This window comes from Homo sapiens, chromosome 12 (assembly GCF_000001405.40).
Source record: "Homo sapiens chromosome 12, GRCh38.p14 Primary Assembly".
In the NCBI taxonomy this organism is placed as follows: Eukaryota; Metazoa; Chordata; class Mammalia; order Primates; family Hominidae; genus Homo; species Homo sapiens.
The window spans coordinates 125212680-125230537 of NC_000012.12; the positions used below are offsets into that span (position 1 = coordinate 125212680).

At 46.5% G+C, this 17858-nt stretch overlaps 1 protein-coding gene across 3 annotated transcripts in view; it reads left to right on the forward strand.

Moving 5' to 3' along the window:
* The window catches only part of TMEM132B (transmembrane protein 132B), a 475992-nt gene that overhangs the window by 26294 nt on the left and 431840 nt on the right, over positions 1-17858 (forward strand). Inside the window, exon 1 of one of the 3 annotated variants that reach the window (XM_047428243.1) lies at positions 5576-5942. The exons of the other annotated variants lie outside the window; for them this stretch is intronic. The gene's annotated coding sequence lies outside the window, so the exon portion shown is untranslated. Of the gene's footprint in view, positions 1-5575; positions 5943-17858 lie in introns of those variants that run through there. 3 annotated transcript variants of the gene reach the window in all.

The window sequence follows — 17858 nt, forward strand, 5'->3', positions numbered from 1 at the left end:
GCGAAACTCCGTCTAAAAAAAAAGAAATTCCTGGGCTCAAGTGATCCTCCCACCTCGATCTCCCAAAGTGTTGGGATTATAGGTGTGAGCCACCATGCCCAGCCCTCTTTCACATACTTAGAATCCTGTTTAATGCCTCAATATTTTTTTGTACAAGCCAAAATACAAAAACAAAGGGTTATATAACCTATCATCGACAGGGTCTAACTGTTTCACTTCATTTTTTTTTTTAAGTTTTTCTAAAAACCGAGGATAAGTTCACACAACACACAACCATTTTAAAGTGTACAAGTCCGTGGCATTTGGTACATTTATAGTGTTGCACAAACACCACCTCTGTTTGGTTCCAGAGCATTTTCATCCTCCCAAATGGAAGTCCCGTACCCACTAGCGGTCACTCCCTACTGCCTTCAACCCCTGGCAAATACGCTTCTACTTTCTATTCTATGGATGTGCTGGTTCTGGCTATTTAATACAAATGCAGTCTTAAAATATGCACCCTTTTGGGTCTGGCTTCTTTCACTTGCACAGTGGTTTTAAGGTTCATCCACGTTGTAGCCTGTGTCAGTGCTATGCTCCTTTTTATGGTTGAATCATCTTCCATTGTCTATCGGATATGCCACCTTTTGTTTATCCGTTCATCTGTTAGTGGGTGTTTGGGTTGCTTCCACCTTTTGGATATTGTGAATAGCACTGCTGAGAACATTTGTGTACAAGTATTTGTTTGAGCACCTGTTTTCATTCTTTCTGGTATACCTGGGTAATTTTTAAAAGCTCCATATATGGTTCTAATGGGAAGCCAACTGGAAAGCTATCAGAATTTTGAGCCCGGAGTTCTGAGCCCGTAAAAGATTCTTTCATTTTTAGTCAAATGGCTTCTAACTGGTCACTCTCTGGCTTCTGATTCAGTGATGGCTTCTCCAGCCTAGACCTTCTCTATAAATTACTGTGTGATTTTTCTGTCTAGCACTTATCACTATCTGAATGAGTCTCCCTTGTTGCCTGGATAGAGGGTTTACCTGTACATGATCTAGCGTCCCTTGCTCTAGATAGAGTGTGATCTCTGTAAGTATAGATCATGACTACCTTGCTTATTCATCCACCTGTACTCCTAGCATCAAGGGAGGTTCCTTGTGGCCAGTGCCAGGTTAGAATCTACTTTACAAAAATGGCAGATGCTAGGTTGCCACCAAATCTGTCTTTAGGATAACTCATTCATTTATCAATCTATCCAAATGGATGGATTTAGTCATTCGAATATTTATTGATGCTTTTTGTGTGCCAGGGCACATAAGTTTGGGGGATAGAGAGAACAATAGTACCCCTTCGTCAGTGAGCTCTCAGTCTACTGGGGGGATAGACAGATAAATAATTCCAATACAGTGCAAGGAGTGCTTCTGTGGAGGTCTGAATCGGGAGCAGGAGCCATTAGGGTTAGCTTCAGGAGGAGGTGTTAGGACTCCTTCAGTTGCAAATGACAAAAACCCAAGTCAAACTGGCATAGCTGAAAGAAAACATCTTTTGATTTATGCATCTGGAAAGTCCTCCTAGGCTTCTGATGTGGCTGACCCAGGGCCTTAATTGCCATCATCAAGACCCAGCCTCCCTCTGTCTCTCAGCACTAGTTTCTTCTATAGTGGCTCCATTCTCAGGGCAGCTTCTTCTAAAGCACGGCTGTTGGGTAGACCTCATATCCCACCAGCTGAGCAGCCCAGCAGGAAGAGAACACCTCTTTCCTGATGGTTCTCACAGAAATGGCAGTTCTGACTCTCACTGGCTAGCAGTAGGTCACGTGACAATCCTTGGCCCAATCATTGTGACTCGGGCCAAGCCTAGGTCATGTGCCTTCTCCTGGAGCAGGGAGGGAAGGGATCCCTCTGGCTGGACCACGTTATAGAGAGTGGACAGGAGGCCTCCAAAGGAGAAAGGCAGGGCATGGTTTCCAGGGGAAGGGAGAATGGCTGCTGTCAGGCCCAAACAACACGTGCCCACTCTAGCAGTCAGGCTGGTGCCAAAAAGAAGATGAGCTGGATATTTCCCAGTTGCCCTCTCCCAGATTTATTCTCCACCCTTCCTTGCCCTTTTCTGTTCCCCGGAAGCTGACCCACAAGGGCTGCAACATCTGGACTTCCCTGCCCTTCAACTTCCAGATGGATTTGGACAATGAGAGACCCGGCTGGAAATGAGAGGGTTGGAAAAGAGACTGAGGGCATTGCTTCCCTGCTCCTCTGTGCTCGGTCTCCACATTTCTGCCTGGGGCTTCGCCTCCCTCTGAGACTTCTGTTCTAATGAGGAAGCCTCTTCTCCCAGCTGCAGCCCTCACTGGCTCCATAACACCACTCTCTCCTTGTCCCTTGAGGCTCAAGAAGTAACAGCTTCCCCCTATTGCCAGCCTCTTGGTGCTACACCTACCCTGCCACTCCCCTGATGCTCCTCCACTTCTGTATATAGACCCGTCATTGAAATCTCTTCCTTCGAACCATCATTGAGGGCAAATTCTTTTTCCTGCCAGGATTTCTATAGATATGAAGGAGACATTTGCCACTACCTTAATTTCCTGTGGCTGCTGCAACATAGGGGCTTCAAATGACACAAATTTATTATCTGAAACTTCTGGAGGTCAAAAGTCAGAAATGGGTGTCACCCAGCTAAAATCAGGGTGTCAGCAGGCTGCATTCCTTCTGGAGTTTCTACGGGAGAATCTCTTTTTTCTTGCTTTTACTACCTTCTAGTGGGTACCTGCATTCCTTGGTTTGTGGCCCCTTCTTCATCTTCAAAGCCAGCAGCATAGTATGTTCTCTTTGTCTCTGACCTCTGCTTCCACCCTTGCATTTTCTCTGACTCCAACTCTCCTGCCTCTTTTCTTTTTTTTCTTTTTTTGAGATGGAGTCTCGCTCTGTTGCCCAGGCTGGAGTGCAATGGCACAATCTCAGCTCACCACAACCTCCACCTCCCAGGCTCAAGTGATTCTCCTGCCGCAGCCTCCCGAGTAGCTGGGATTACAGGCATGCGCCACCACGCCTAGAGGATTTTTGTATTTTTAGTAGAGATGGGGTTTCACCATGTTGCCCAGGCTGGTCTTGAACTCCAGACCTCAGGTGATCCACCCGCCTTGGCCTCCCAAAGTGCTGGTATTACAGGCGTGAGCCACTGCACTGGCCCTCTTTCTTATAAAGACCCTTACACTGGGTCCACCTGGATAACAGAAGGTAATCTCCCCAGCTCAAGAGCCTTAACTTGATCACAGTCTCTATTGCCAGGAGGGCAGTGTTCTAGGGATTAGGACATGCACATCTTTGGGCACCATTATTCTGCTTACCACAGCCATCTTTATCTGCCCCTTCTTAAGAATCTCTCTGCTCTTTGGCCTCTGAACTTGGGCATCCCTGGAGGCCTTGATTCCATCTGCCTCCTGTATTAGTTTGGGCTGCCATAAGAAAATACCACACAGAGTGGTTTAAACAACAGAAATTTCTTTTCTTACAGTTCTGGAGGCTGGAAGTTCAAGGTCAGGGTGCTAGCAAGGTCAGTTTTTGGTGAGGGCTCCCTTCCTGGCTTGCAGATGGCAGCCTCCTCTCTGTGTCCTAAAGGTAGAGGGTGGGTGGGGAGGCTTGAAGCAGGGGAGAAGCTCTCTCATGTCTCCTCTTAAAAGAACACCAGTCCTGTTGGATCAGGGTCCCACCCTTATGACCTCATGTGACCTTAATTACCTCCATTAAGGCCTGACCTTCAAATATAGTCACCTTGGGCATTGGGGCTTTCACATGTGGCTTGGGGAGGTGAACACAAAACTTCATTTTGTAACACCTCTCTTCCTCTAAGCTTTATTCTCCAGCCCTCAGCCTTGGAGGCCTTCTTTGTGTCTTTGTTGAGAAAATCAGTGCTGAGATGTCTTTTCAGCCTGGCATTGCCCTTGGAATTACTCCGTTATCGTGGCCTGATTCTCTCTGCTCTGTGAGTGTGGGCAAATTGACAGGATGTTAAAGGATGTTCAAGAAAAGGTCACTGATAACAGGCCTTTGATTAGTTCCTGAGAAAAGGAGTCAGTGATTCCTTTTCTGAGCTGGAATGGTTGGGGAGTGCAGCCGTGGGGACTTGGAGATCCTTCTTCCTGCCAGAGACTCCACAGATGTCTGGACCCAGGGGCTCGGGTGGGTCCACGGAGGCAGCAAGCTGGCCGGAGGCATCGAGCAGCTCCTCCATTATCCGCATGCCTCCTGCGTGGCTGGGCAGGATGCTGTGGCCACTGGCTGCGATCTTGGCGCTTCACAAGCTGGAGCCGTCAGGCCCTGAGCCACTCGGCCGCGCAGATGCCTTCCCTGTATGCACTGGCTTGTAATTAAAACTCAACTTGCCAGTCTGATTGGACTAAGCAGTTAAATTCATCTGGAAGAGTTTTTCATCTGCATTGTGTAATTAGCAACATACGATGCTTGTGTTAGCTCAATTAAAAGTTATGGTGATTAATATGGGTATCAAAGCAGAACCGTAAATCAACAGATTCAGGGCACTTGGAGTTCATGGGCTGGGAGGCAGAGAGCCAGCTGCAGGCCATACCTCAGTGGCAGCTAGGCAGGAGGGTGGGGAAGAGAGGCCAGGCTGGGGGCCGGGTACATGGCTGGGTCACTCACTCTCCTCTCTGAGCCTCAGTTTCCCATCTTATATATTGGGGTACCAGTACTTTTAGGTCATTCTGAGTTTCAGGGCCTGGGATGGGGTATAGATGTAGAAAGTGTTCTCTTTTGCCTATATACTCCTTCGCTTAATTCTTTGTTTGTTTGTTTTGAGACAGGGTCTTGCTCTGCTGCCCAGGCTGGAGTGCAGTGGCACAATCTCAGTTCATTGCAGCCTTGACCTTCCAGGCTTAGGCGATCCTCCCGCCTCAGCCTCCCGAGTAGCTGGGACTACAGGCAGGCACCACCATGCTTGGCTAATTAAAACAATGTTTTTTTATGTAGAGATGGGGGTCTCACCATGTTGCCCAGGCCGGTCTCAAACTCCTGGCCTCAAGTGATCTTCCCTCCTTGGCCTCCCAAAGTGCTGGAATTACAGGTGTGAGCTACCACGCCTGGCCTTCCTTCCTTTAATTCTAAATGCACTGACAGGCATTATGTATCAAAATTAAAACGTCCATGCCTTGAACCCAGCAATTGCGCACTGAGATGTTTATCACACAGATAAATTTCCACGTGTGCAAAATGTCTTAATAATGACTGCAGCAGTTGTTCGTAAGAGGAGAGATTTGAGGATAGCCTAAACTGATTAAGCAAATTATGACATATCCATGCAGGGAAATATTTTGCAGCTGTTAAAAAATGAGGCGGGCCAATTTTAAGGGAGATGGAACTGTAAGATGTGCTTTTAATGCATAAAGCAAGATGTAGGGAGTTAGTACTGCCAAGTGTGGACAAGAGAACAATACACATGTATATGTTTGCAAATAGGTGGAGCAACACCCTAAGGAGTCCTATAAGACTGGGGGAGTTGGGTACCTTCTGGGAGGGTAATGGATTGCCTGGGGGACAAGGGATGGGAGGTGATAATGTTGTATGGTGTGCTTTTGTATTCTTCGAATTTCATGCCATGTGCATTTTTTAACTTAAATTATATAATAAAAATATTTTAAAAGAAAAAAAGGCAAGCTCTCAATCGTCCTTTCCCCTTAAAATGAGAAAAAAGGGCCTATTTTAGTATTTTCCATAGATTTTTGTCTCTTTGTCCTTGTGACCGAGAGCTTCCAGAGCTATTTTTCTTTGCTGTGAAATTGTAATGTTTTGTATCTGGCTTCTAGATTTCCAGTGCAGAAATGAAATCTAAAAATCTCAAACGCCCACGACATGGCATTCTGGGGTAGGAGGGAAGAAACCCCCACCCTGGCTGTATTCTGCATTGTCGGTTGTGACTCGGATTTGGTTGTGGATCAAGATTATGAGTACAAAAAGGTCAGTGTGAACTGTTCCCATCAGCTCCTTTGATTGGGCCACCCAGGATCCCACCATGAACTTGAGGCTGATAAATTCTCTAATCTGCAAGATAAAAGTACTTGGGATGGGTAGGAGAGAGGGAGGGACATCTTTCTTGTTGAAGCTGTTTTTTTTTTTTTTTTTTTTTATTGGAATTACCCAGCTATTCTATTCCTAGGTTTATATTCAAAAGAACTGGAAACAGGTGCCCAAACAAAAACCTGCCCATGAATGGGAGGGAAATAGGGAGCGAGCACTTAATGGATACAGGGTCTCCTTTTGGGGTGATGAAAATGTTTTGAAACTAGATAAAGGTGGTGTTTGCACAACAATGTGAATATACTAAATGCCACTGACTTGTACCCTTTAAAATAGTTAATTTTATGCCATGTGAATTTCACCTCAATTTTAAAAAATGAGAGCCATCTGTGGTGAGAGGTCCTGAGCCTCTAGATTAGTCATCCATTGCTCAAGATATATTGCTGGAGTGTTGCAATAAGTTGCACTTTTTTCCCCTTAAATGTATAGCCATGATGGCGAGGTTTCTGGTGGCATCTCAGGGCCACGTGGCAGAGATGCAGAAATGCATTCCCAGGGTTTGGATGAAGATTCTGGATGACACCGACAGCTCGAGATGGTCTCTGCAGAATTCTATTATCTTCCTTGAAGCCCAAGGAGAGCATCTGGGGGACCTAGTGCATTCTGACTAGGAAGTCGTATCTCAATTAGATTTCTTCCTATTAATCAGAAGGTTGCTTAACGATGTGAAAAATCAACTGAAGTGTGCCTGGAGTGGGCAGCTGTTTGTGCTCACCTGGCATCTTGGGGGAACTGTCCTTCCCCTAGGCACAATAAAGGTGTGATGAGGCTGCCTGGATCCCCAGAGCTGGATCGGGGGTCCTCTTCACACCTCTGTTGTGTGTGTGGGAAGGACCTGGTCTTTCTCAAGACCTGGTCCTCCAACCCTCCCCGCCAGGCTCTGGGCTGCCCATCTCCTTCCATCAGGTCCACTTTGGTTTCGAACAATTCCAAGAGCCCTAGCTGAGACTGGTCTGTGACAGAAGACATTAGGGGCTTAGGTCCTGATTTTACCAGCCAGCCCTGGTTTACACCTGGCATAATCAATAACAATCCCTTTCACAGGTGCCTCAGTGGCACTGGATCCATTCAGTGGGCACCCTAGGATCTGTGTATCTGAAGGAGCCACTGTTTCCCCCAGGGGTCCCCCAGCAGCCTTCCCCTGACGGCCCCCTTTGCTGAGGGACCCCCTTTTACATCTCATCAATAGCGACAGCTAACATTTTTGGAAGCCTGCTGTGTGTCAGTATTTGCCGTAAGTATTTACACACACGGACTCATTTGATTTTCATGACAGCCCTATGAAGTAGGCATTCAACCTTTTCTGTCCCATCCCCTGAGCTCCACAAGGTGACCTTTTAAAGTTCACCTCTTGTGGATTCTTCTAGAGTTTGTTTATATAATATACAAGCAACTACTAATACATGTTTTTATTTTCTCCACTTTTCTTATAGCAAGAGTAGCATATTGCATGCACTGTTTTGTAGCACACTGAAAACCACATCTTGGTCAATGGAGGTATTTCTCATCAGGGTTTGGGAAGGGGCCTCCTTCCTTCCTCAAGCCACCTTGTGTCTGGGCTGAGGTTGTTCTTGCCCCAAACCACATCTGTGAGAACCAGGGGCGACCCAGCCTCACCGCCTGGAGACACGTAACAAAGTCTACGGGATTTTGTTTGGCTGCAAACCTTTAACAAGCTTTCAAGATAATGCTGTTTCTTGGAGGCTCAGCCGCTGCTTAAACAAGTGCAGATTAAATGCTTGTGTATTCTGTATTGATTTGATCTGGGCATCCTGCCAGCCTTGGAGAAAGTGACGATAGCGATTCAGGCCCTTCTCTGTCGGCATTTCCAAGAGGTCTGGAGTGAGAAGCTGATCAGGCTTGGGTTTTCTCACAGTGGGAGGCAGGCACCACGGAGCTCCTGGTGTTGACGCTCTGTGGTCAGGCAGTCAATCAGCAGGTCCTGGGGCTGCGGCAGCCTCTTAGGTGATCTTCCTGCCTCTACCCTCGTCCTGCTGTGTCTGTTTCCCAGATCGTAGGAGCGTGTACCTCTTAAGCTGCTAAATCAGTTCACATCCCTCCTCTGCTCCAAACCCTTCCACGGCTCCCAGCTCGCTCAGAGTAAAAACCCACAGTCCTGAGCTTGGCCCACAAGGCCTCTCCTGCCTTACTCACTCTTTGTCAGCCACTGGCCTCCTGTTGTCCCAGAGAGGCCCAGCACCCATTTGCCCCAGGGCCTTTGCACGTGCAATTCTGTTTGGAACACTCTTGCCCAATGTGTGCGTGGCTCATACCCTCAGTTCATGACTTTAGCCACATGTCATCATTTTAGAGGGGCTGTCCCTGAGCACCCCGCCTACAGTAGCGCTCAGCACTCATTTCCTGCTTCATTTGTTTTCATAGCATTTCTGTCCAGCTGATGTGACATATCATTATCTGTTCATCTGTGTTTTACAGTAGGATGTCAGCTTTATGAGAGCAGTGACCTCATCTGTCTAGTTCATAGATATATACCCAGGACCTAGAATGCTGCCTGGCAGATAGTAGGTGCTCAGTAAATACTAATGGAATAATGTTCTGTGAGCACTTACTTTGTTCTCTACTCAGTGCATGAGGATTCAGAGTGGATAACACTTGCCCCTCGTCTTCAAAAGCTTCCCGTCTAGTCGGAGAAATGAGTGGTTATTTTCTCCACTGGGTTCTGTGGGCACAGTGCCTAGGGCTCATGACTATATCCAGGCCCCCGAAAAATGTTTGAGATCTGAAAAAGTTATTGGTTCTAAGATCTGAAAAGAAAATGGTAATATCAAAACAAATGTTCAAACAACCACAGTTTTTCCCAACTCATAATTTTATGTAAGGCAGGTCGTAGGAACATTTCAATATGTTTAGTACAGTGGAAGCCTGTAAAAGAAAGAATGCTTGGGAGCTGGGAAGGTCTTGAAATGGCCTTGGAGATAACTGGCCTACCTAAAACAAAGTGATTAAACAGAGGGTGTAATTCATCCCTGTAGGAACAGGAGACATTCAGAGAAGGGACATTCATGTGGAATTCAGGGAAGGCTTCCTGGAGGAGGTGTGACTTGCGTGGGGCCTTGAAGGTCTGGTATAACTTGGACAACTTGTGGGAAGGGAGATTGGAAGGAGGAGTAGCTTTCCTGTATTTGTGGGCTGGAGCCCAACTAGCGTGGTTGGGGCAATCCAGTGAGGCTGGTAAGATGACGCCTGCTCATGGAGCGGTTGTGGAGCCCCAGGACTGCAGTTCAGAAATAGAGGGCTGCTGCAGTCTCCCAAGGTGATGAAACTGGCTTGCTGTAGACCCTTGTAAAATCTTCCCTTTGAGCCTTTGCATAAGAAAAACTGGATTGCTGTCAAGGCCCAAGTATTTCAGGAAGAAGGTGAGATAACAGCCCCACATCACCTTTATTAGAAAGGTGGGAAAGGGAGCAGTGGGTGTTTGTGACTCCCAGGGGACAATAAGTTTCTCTGCCTTATTTGCTATATAGTTTAAGCTATGTGTTTGTTGCTTATTTTTATCTCTGTTTTCTTCCCTCAAGGACTCAAGGCAGCAAACAGAAATAAATCAGTATAATAAGATTAAAATGATTAAGACAAAAGGAAAATAAGGGAGAATTGCATAGTTACTATAATGCTGGGGTGGGTCAGCACCAGAAATGTATGCCAGGAGATCGTAAATTTGGCCTTGGGTATCCTGGCAGCCAAGGCGACTAAGGAAACAATTGCACAAACCAGGCTCTCCATAAATATAGGGACTCCATACAGCAATATGGGGGATTTTCACTTTCTGAACATTTGTTCTTGGAACTGCTTCAGGTATTTGCCTGGGAATTAAATGTCCAAACATGAAAATACTTGCCAATGAACTGACAATTTCTATTCTAAATTTACTTCCCACTCAACATCCCTCTAGACCAAGGGTTCTTAGCCTTGGCATTATTTACATTTTGAGCTGGATAATCTTTGATTGTGGGGCTGTCCTGGGAATTGTAGGATGTTCAGCACCATCCCTGGCCCTTCCATCAGCTAGATGCCAGTAGTACCACCCACCCTGCAGTGTGACAACCAAAAATGTCTCTAGACATTGACAAATGTCCCTGGGGGGCAAGATTGCCCCCATTGGAGAACTCAATGGTCTAGGGTAAAATATTGATTGTGTCTGTTCTCACTCATCCCATTTTTTTCACTATTCTTTCTTTGAAGGATCAGGCAGGAACTGTAGATTCAATACATTACATAATGAACTGTAAATTCAGTGCAGATCATAAAGTGAAATTGCAAATCTTGCAAGAAATGTAGGATTTCAGGAAGTCGATGAAAGTGATATTGGCAAATTGCCAGAACCACAGCAAAACCACTGACCAATGAGGAACTCTCTCAGCTAGGGCACTTAGTGCTGGAAGAAAAGGAAATCGACGAAACTAACAGATGCTTCAAAATAAAGTGATCTGAATATCAAAAGAGTAAGAGATGACCTTGAGGAAGTTGATGATGCCTTGAGATATTTTAGCAAAAATGCACTTTTTATGATCATGTTACAGAAGTCAAATGAGAAGGAAAGGAGATTGCATCCTGCTCTTAATGATCTTTTGGACGAATTAAATGACTACCTTCAACAGTTTATTCTTGCTTTAGTCTAAGGATTGACCTGTAGTTGCAACTATAATTTACATTTTGGGAAACATAAAACAACGGAGTTATTTGTAAAATTTTTACTTGATTTTTCAAGAAAAATTTCTAGTCATGCCTTAACTTTTTTGTGGTAAAATACACACAACATAAAATCCATCATATGAAACATTTGAAAGTATATAATTCATTGGCATTTAGAATATTTAAAATATTTTGCAACCATCACCACTAATTCCAGAACATTTTCATCAGCCCAAAATAAAATCACACCGTTTAACAGTTACTCTCTGTCCCGCTACCCCCAGCCCTCGCCAGCCATTAATCTACTTTCTGTACCTGCAAATTTGCCTATTCTGAACATTTACTAGAAATTGTGCAATATGTGGTCTTTTGTGTCTGGCATCTTTCACTTTGTATAATATTTTTTTTTTTCAGAGACAGAGTCTTACTCTATTGCCTAGGGTGGCGCGATCTTGGTTCACTGCAATCTCTGCCTCCTGGGTTCAAGTGATTCTCCTGCCTCAGCCTCCTGAATAGCTGGAATTACAGGCGCCTGCCACCACACATAGCTAATTTTTGTATTTTTAGTAGAGAAGGGGTTTCGCCATGTTGGCCAGGCTGGTCTGGAACTCCTGATCTCAGTTGATCCGCCTGCCTCAGCCTCCCAAAGTGCTGGGATTACAGGCGTGAACCACCGTGCCCGGCCTAATGTTTTAAGGTTCAACCCCATTGGAGTATGTGTCAGCACTTCATTCCCTTTTATGGCTGGATAATATTTCATTGTATGGATATACCACATTTTTTAATCCATTCATTTGTTGATAGACATTTGGGTTCATGGACATTTGGGTTGTTTTTGCTCTTTGGCTATGGTGAATAGTGCTGCCATTAACATCCCTGTATGAGTTTTTGTTTGTACTCCTGTTTCCATTTCTCTTTGGTGTATACCTAGAAGTGGAATTGCCGGGTCATAGGGTAATTCTAGGTTAAAGTCATGTCTTTTTTAATCGTGAAAATTCAGTCTCTGTTTTAAGTGGGTCCACTTTAAGTGGACTTCCCAGGGTGCCGACTGTTTTCTGATATTAAGGACTTCCAGGAGACAGAGAGCTCTCCTTGACCACTGTGCAGTGCTGAAGCACTCATCCCATTGTCCTCAGGTGGGTGACTGTCTTGTATGAGGCAGGACTTCTTGTGCTTCCTGAGGGATTGGAGCTGCCCAGGCAGACCCTTCCCTGCCTGTCTTGGGGCAGCACTTCTGAGGGCAGCTGCTCCAAGGGACGCTTAGAGGTGCACTTAGATGTGTTTTAAGAGGAAGGGCAGAAGAAAAACCCCAACTGAATATCTGATGCCATTTCTTTTAGAAAGCCTTCTTCCTCTCCCTTCCCTGGCCTTTTCTGGCCACTTAAAAAATTGTTTTCTTGAATCGAAGGCAGATACATGGTAAAACTATGCCAACAGTTTAAAAGGGGTATCTGTTGAAAAGCAGGTTTTCTGTTCCTTCCCTGATCCCAAGACCACAATACCTAAACATGCAAACACACACACACTTTTTTGCATTCTTTCTTTCCTAACAGAGATCTTCTAAAGAATCTTCTAAAGGGGATTGCTGTATCCTAGGAGATGTAGACCTTCCTCATCCTTTCTGGTGGAGGTGTGGGATACCACATGCAGTGGTTCAGGTGGAATATGGAGTGGAGGGAGGAGGGCACAGACCTGCACACATGTGCACACACATTCACACACCCACAGTGTGGCGAGGTCCAGTTCCCAAATCAATCAGCTGAGGATGAACAAAGTTCTGGTCAAAAGTGAGGTGGCTGCCCAGGGCAGGGGCAGATGCAGTGATTCATGGTGTAACTTCCCTGGGCTCCCAGAGTATATAGCAGGGTGAGAGGTTACTGGCCACGTAAGCAGGACCAGCCGCACCATTTGTAAGGCCCAGTGAGAAATGAAAATGCAGGTTAGAAAACTGTCAAGAATTTCAAGAGGGCGATAGCAGAGCATTAAGTCAAGGATAAGGGCTTTCTGAGATCAGGTCCCTGTGTGACAGCACAGGCCACTCACACACGAAGCCAGCCTTGCACATAGGCAAGTTTTGCTAGAGGTGGGAAGTTCATTTCTGGCTGTGCTATGCCTTTTTTATATTTTGGATTTCCATCATGTTTCTGGAAGAACTTAACTCTATCGCAGTGGGCTGACTGCTCTAACAAACAACTCCCACATCTCAGTGGTTTAGTCCAATAGAAGTTTGTTTCTTTTCCATGGAACAGTTCAATCAGAGTGTGAGGCAAGCCTTCCACATGGGGACTCAGGGTTCTTTCATCTTGCAGCTCACTTACCTCCGCGGGGCTTGCAATTCTGTGCTGGGTCTCTGCATATAGGAAAACAAATTTGCACATTCCCATATATGCGCCAGGTCTGGAAGTAGTGCACCTCCTTCTTACTTGCGTTCCATTAATTCAGGCTCAGTCACATGACCACTCCTAGCTGCAAGGGAGGCTGGGAAATGTAGTCCACCTGTGGGCCCAGGACAAACAGTATGGTCAAATCACCATCCTAGGGGAGCAAGCAGACAGGATCTAGGTTTTCTAGTATAATAATTCTGCTCTTAGCTTCCTATCAACCTACAAATTCCATTTTACCCTCTGATGGACATTTGCACTATTTCTAGTCTTTGCCTTATGCAAAAAAGAATACCGATAGTGTCCTTGTGTGTACCTCTTTGTGGGCTAGTTTCAAGTATACCTGTTTGGTTTTCATTTAAATGCAGCAGCAGCATCAACTCCCCATCCATGTAGTAGCTTGCTCTCAGCTAAGGGTGTCAAATTTGCATACGACAGAGTCACACAGAGTTGTGACAGAGCAAATAAAGGGCCCTGAGTGGGAGTTAGTACCCCAGCTTCCAGCCCCAGCTCCACCTTGGCCCTGCTACTTACCCTCTTTGTTAAGGGTTTGGAGCTGATAATATTAGTTGACATTTCTTGAGCACTGGCTGTGACACTTTCCTACTTGCTACCATCTCTTGAGCAGTGTCTTAAGCTCTATATACACATTCCCACATTTAATCTTCACACAGCAATCCTTCTGAGAAAGGCACTATTGTCTGTCCCATTTTGTAGATGAGGAAACTGAGGCATAAAAATGGTCAGCAAATGCCTAAGATTTTGTGGTTCTCATGTCTACTTCCTTCCAGACAGGGGAATCGGGAGAGTCCATTAAGAAGGCCTCACGGGCACAGTGGTAAGAGGTTAGCTTTAGAATTAGGGATAGGCATAGATTCAAATCTGAGCATTGCTGGTTCCCTTGGGAAAGTCCACTCTTCCTAGGTCCTCAGTTTTCTCATCTGTAAAGTGGGGTAAAATCTACGTGTCAGGGTTTATTGGATTGGTCATTCCTTCATGTATTCATTCAGCCAGTGCTATGCCGGCACTGGGGGGAAAATCAATCTCACCAGGTCCCAGATGTCACATTTTAGAGGGAGAGTTCTCTAGGATTAGAGGTGATGCATGTTTAACGCCTAGCTGTGCCTAGTGCTTTCTAGGCCCTTGGGGACTGGTGGTTATTATAATAGTGGATAATTACATGTGTCATAAACTGTTAAGTGCTGTAACGGTGTTAGGTAGCAATAATATTGAAAATTCCATTTTCACTTAAGGATGTTCCCGGTATGTGAGGCAGTGATGAACAAAAGTGCCAGGAGTGAGTGACCTCCAGGAGACCAGCTCCTTGGGGTGGGTTCACTCCAAAGTGATTTTTGGCACTGTCTCCCAGCATTGCCCAGTGGGACTGCGGCCCAGTTGCCTGCAGTGTTCTGTGCCACAGCACTGTCCTGGCTTGAAAGGGGACAGCGAGAGCCAGGTTCCATGGGGATTTAATACTGGCTGCATTTGTTGAGGTCTTGTGGCAGGAAGCACTTCACATGTATTAACTCATTTAATCCTCACAAAACCCCACGAGAAAGGCACTTCATTATCCCCATTTTATAGATGGGGAAAATGAGGCACAGAGAGGTTGAAGAGCTTAGTCAAGGACACACAGCTCCAGGGTGGCAGAGCTGGGATTCAGACCCAGGTGGTCTGGGTCCATAACCTGTCATTTTAATGACTGTGCTCTGTGGGCTCTTGTGACTGGATCTGGATACTGGGTAGGGTTGGAAATACCTGCTGGGCAGCAAAGGGCAGACTCCCTTGAGTCCAAGAGGGGTGGGGTTGCTGGTGCTTTGGAGATCTATTAGGATGGTTCCCTCTTGAGCTCAGTGTCTCCCCTCTCTCAGGATCACATAGAATCAGCAGCTTAGGGACCAAGGCAGATTCAGCATGCTCTCCCTCCCTGCCCTCACCCCCTTGCCATTCTTGTGCAGGTCCAGCATTCCACGATTGACACCTGTGAGTTTCAATGTGGCCATCAGAGCTGCTCTGGTTGTGTGTAGGGCTGAACAAAAGTACCAGGAATGAATGACCTCCAGGAGACCAGCTCCATGGGGTGGGATAACTCCAAAGTGAATCTCCACACTGTGTCCCAGTGTTGCCCAGTGTTGCTCAGCAGGACTGGGCACTAGTTGCCTGCAGTGTTCTGTGCCACAGCACTGTCCTGGCTTGATAACGTACCCTTTGTTGACTTCTTTTTTCTCTCTTTGCATTTCTCTATTCCTCACACGATGCTTCCTGGAATCATCTCCAAATGAAACACCTGTACTCTAATTATTGTCTCAGATCTGCTTCTGGGGGATCCCAAATCAAGACATCAAGAGTAGCTGGAATCTGCCACCTCATTAGCAAAGTTCCTGGGAGCCACTGACATGGAAGACCCCCTGTTTCCGCCTCTCGGTTTCCGAGCCTCAGAAAGATGGACTGTGAGGCCTCAATGAGCTCGGACTGGCCAGAATTCCCTTGGCCTCTGGCTCTTCACCCCGCTGCCCTCGTTAGCACCCCGGGGCTCCAGGACCACGTGTGTGTGAACAATTGCAGATGGTAGGCGAGTGAGGAGGGATTTGGCCCTGGGCTCTTGATTAATGGAGAGTTGTGGAGGTCAGCACCTCTGGGGTGGGAAGGCAGCAGCAACTCTCTTGGCCCAGAAAAGATCTGGGGGAAGAGTCGAACAATTTGGGTTTTGATGCTCTCCTGACCTCAGCATTTCTGCCGTGCTTCTGTTTTGACCAGATTGATTGGAAAACACAGGGAGGATAAAACTCAGTTGCTTCTGCCACAGGGCTGGTGGGCGGAGCTGGACCTGTTCAGGCTTGTTAGGATCAATTCTGTGGTTGGAACGTGTGGGGACATGGTGCATGGAGGGTTGGATCGAATGCTCTCTGCAGCAGACGTCACTGGTGCCTACCCACAGCGGCCGACCCCCTGTTGGCTGCTAGAATAACATTTTGTTTAGGAGGTGATGGGCCCAGCTCCAGAGAGGGATCCTGATTGGTCCAAACCGATGTATCAATCACTTCCCTGTTTTCCAGTGATTGGTTTAGAAGTGGCCACGTGACCAGGTGCTAGCCCATGAGATAGAAGAGCCTGTGTACTGGGGCTTCTTTGACTAATTCTCTCCCTAAGAGAGGAGTGTAGGAGGAGAAAATCTTCTTCTTTTCCCATCTTTCCTGCCTGGATGCAGACCCTGAGGACCTGACCAACTAGAGCTGCATAGCTATGGTGCCGCGGGCGAGGGAGACCTTGCCAGCACACCGAGGAGGGCAGACAGGGAGCTGGAAGGAAGCCTGGGTCCCTCATGACGCAATTGAGTCTCTTAAGCAGCCTGGCCACCGCCCACCTCCGAGTTTCTCGTTAAGTAAATAACGCATGTCCTTATGGCTTAAGCTGCTTTTAGTGGGTTTTTCTGTTATTTCAGCCAAATGCGTGCTGATGGATAAGGTCACCATTTTCTAGAAGTCTTTCTGGGGAATTCTTTAATATTTTAACACTTGATCCAGGACTTGCTTTTGAACTCTCGGCACTTTACTACATTAGAGCATACTTATATTTTGTGCCTGTGATTCAGTCAGTGCGGTGAGTCCTGGCCTCGAAGGTCCTTACCGTCACTAGGTTCATTCCTCTTCCATTACCTGCCTCTTAGAACACAACGTTTTAATCTGTACTAGTTGAAAATCTTGTGGTTGCCATTAAGAGAAACCCACTGTAACTGGCTAAATACATAAGTAAATTCTATCTACCTACCTGTGCATCAATGTATCTATCTATCTGTCATCTATCATTTATCTGTCATCTATCTATAGAAAAATAGTCAAATAATTTATTGACTCAGCACTGAAAAAATCAAGGCACAGATATTCTCGTGTTGCAGCTTCAGGCATAGCTGAATCCAGGGGCTCAAACAGTAACACTGGGAATGTCCTCTGTGACTCCTGGCTTTGCTGGCTTCTGTTGGCTGTGTTTCTGCACAGGTTTTCCTCATGAGATATCAGGATGGCTGCTGATGTTCCCGGCCTTGCACGCTCCCAGTCGCCTAGCTGTGCAATCCCAGTGGAAAGAGAACAGCTATTGCTCGATAGATTAATCATTCCTCTCATAATTTCGTCTAAAGGGTCTCCCTAAGGGCATGTGCCCATTCCAGAACCACTTATTATTGTGCTCAGGAGGATAGAAAATGCCGGGGCAGGAGCAGCCTTAGGTCACATGCTGGGGTGGCACCAATCTCCCTGAAGGACAAGGGCCGGGAACAGGGCGGAGGATGGTTCCTCAAAGGAAAGCTGGGCAAGATGAACAGAAGAAGGAGGACTGGAGCCCGGGCAGGCAAAAACAACAGATGTCTCCTCACAGTCTAAGGTATTTTGGGAGGAGAGGAGACACTGCAGATTTCCTCTAGTTTCTTTTTTTAATTGCTGGTTGTAGAAACTTTTGTTAAAAAACCTTACACGTGAGGCTAACATGTTAAGGAGAAGGAGGTGGTGCTTCTCAGGTTGGCGCTGCGGGGAGGGGTGTGTTGGCTTCTCCTCTGTGTGAAGCGGTGGAGCAATGCTGCTTCAAGTGTGGCTCCTGGACTGCAGCGACAGCATCTGGAGACCCGTTAGAAATGCAGGTCCTCAGGCCTCGCCCTGGACCCATGCAACTGGAAGCTCTGCAGGTGGGGCCCAGGCATCTGTGGTTTTTTTTTTCTCATTTTTTTATTTTTTCTGAGACGGAGTCTCGCTCTGTTGCCCAGGCTGGAGTGCAG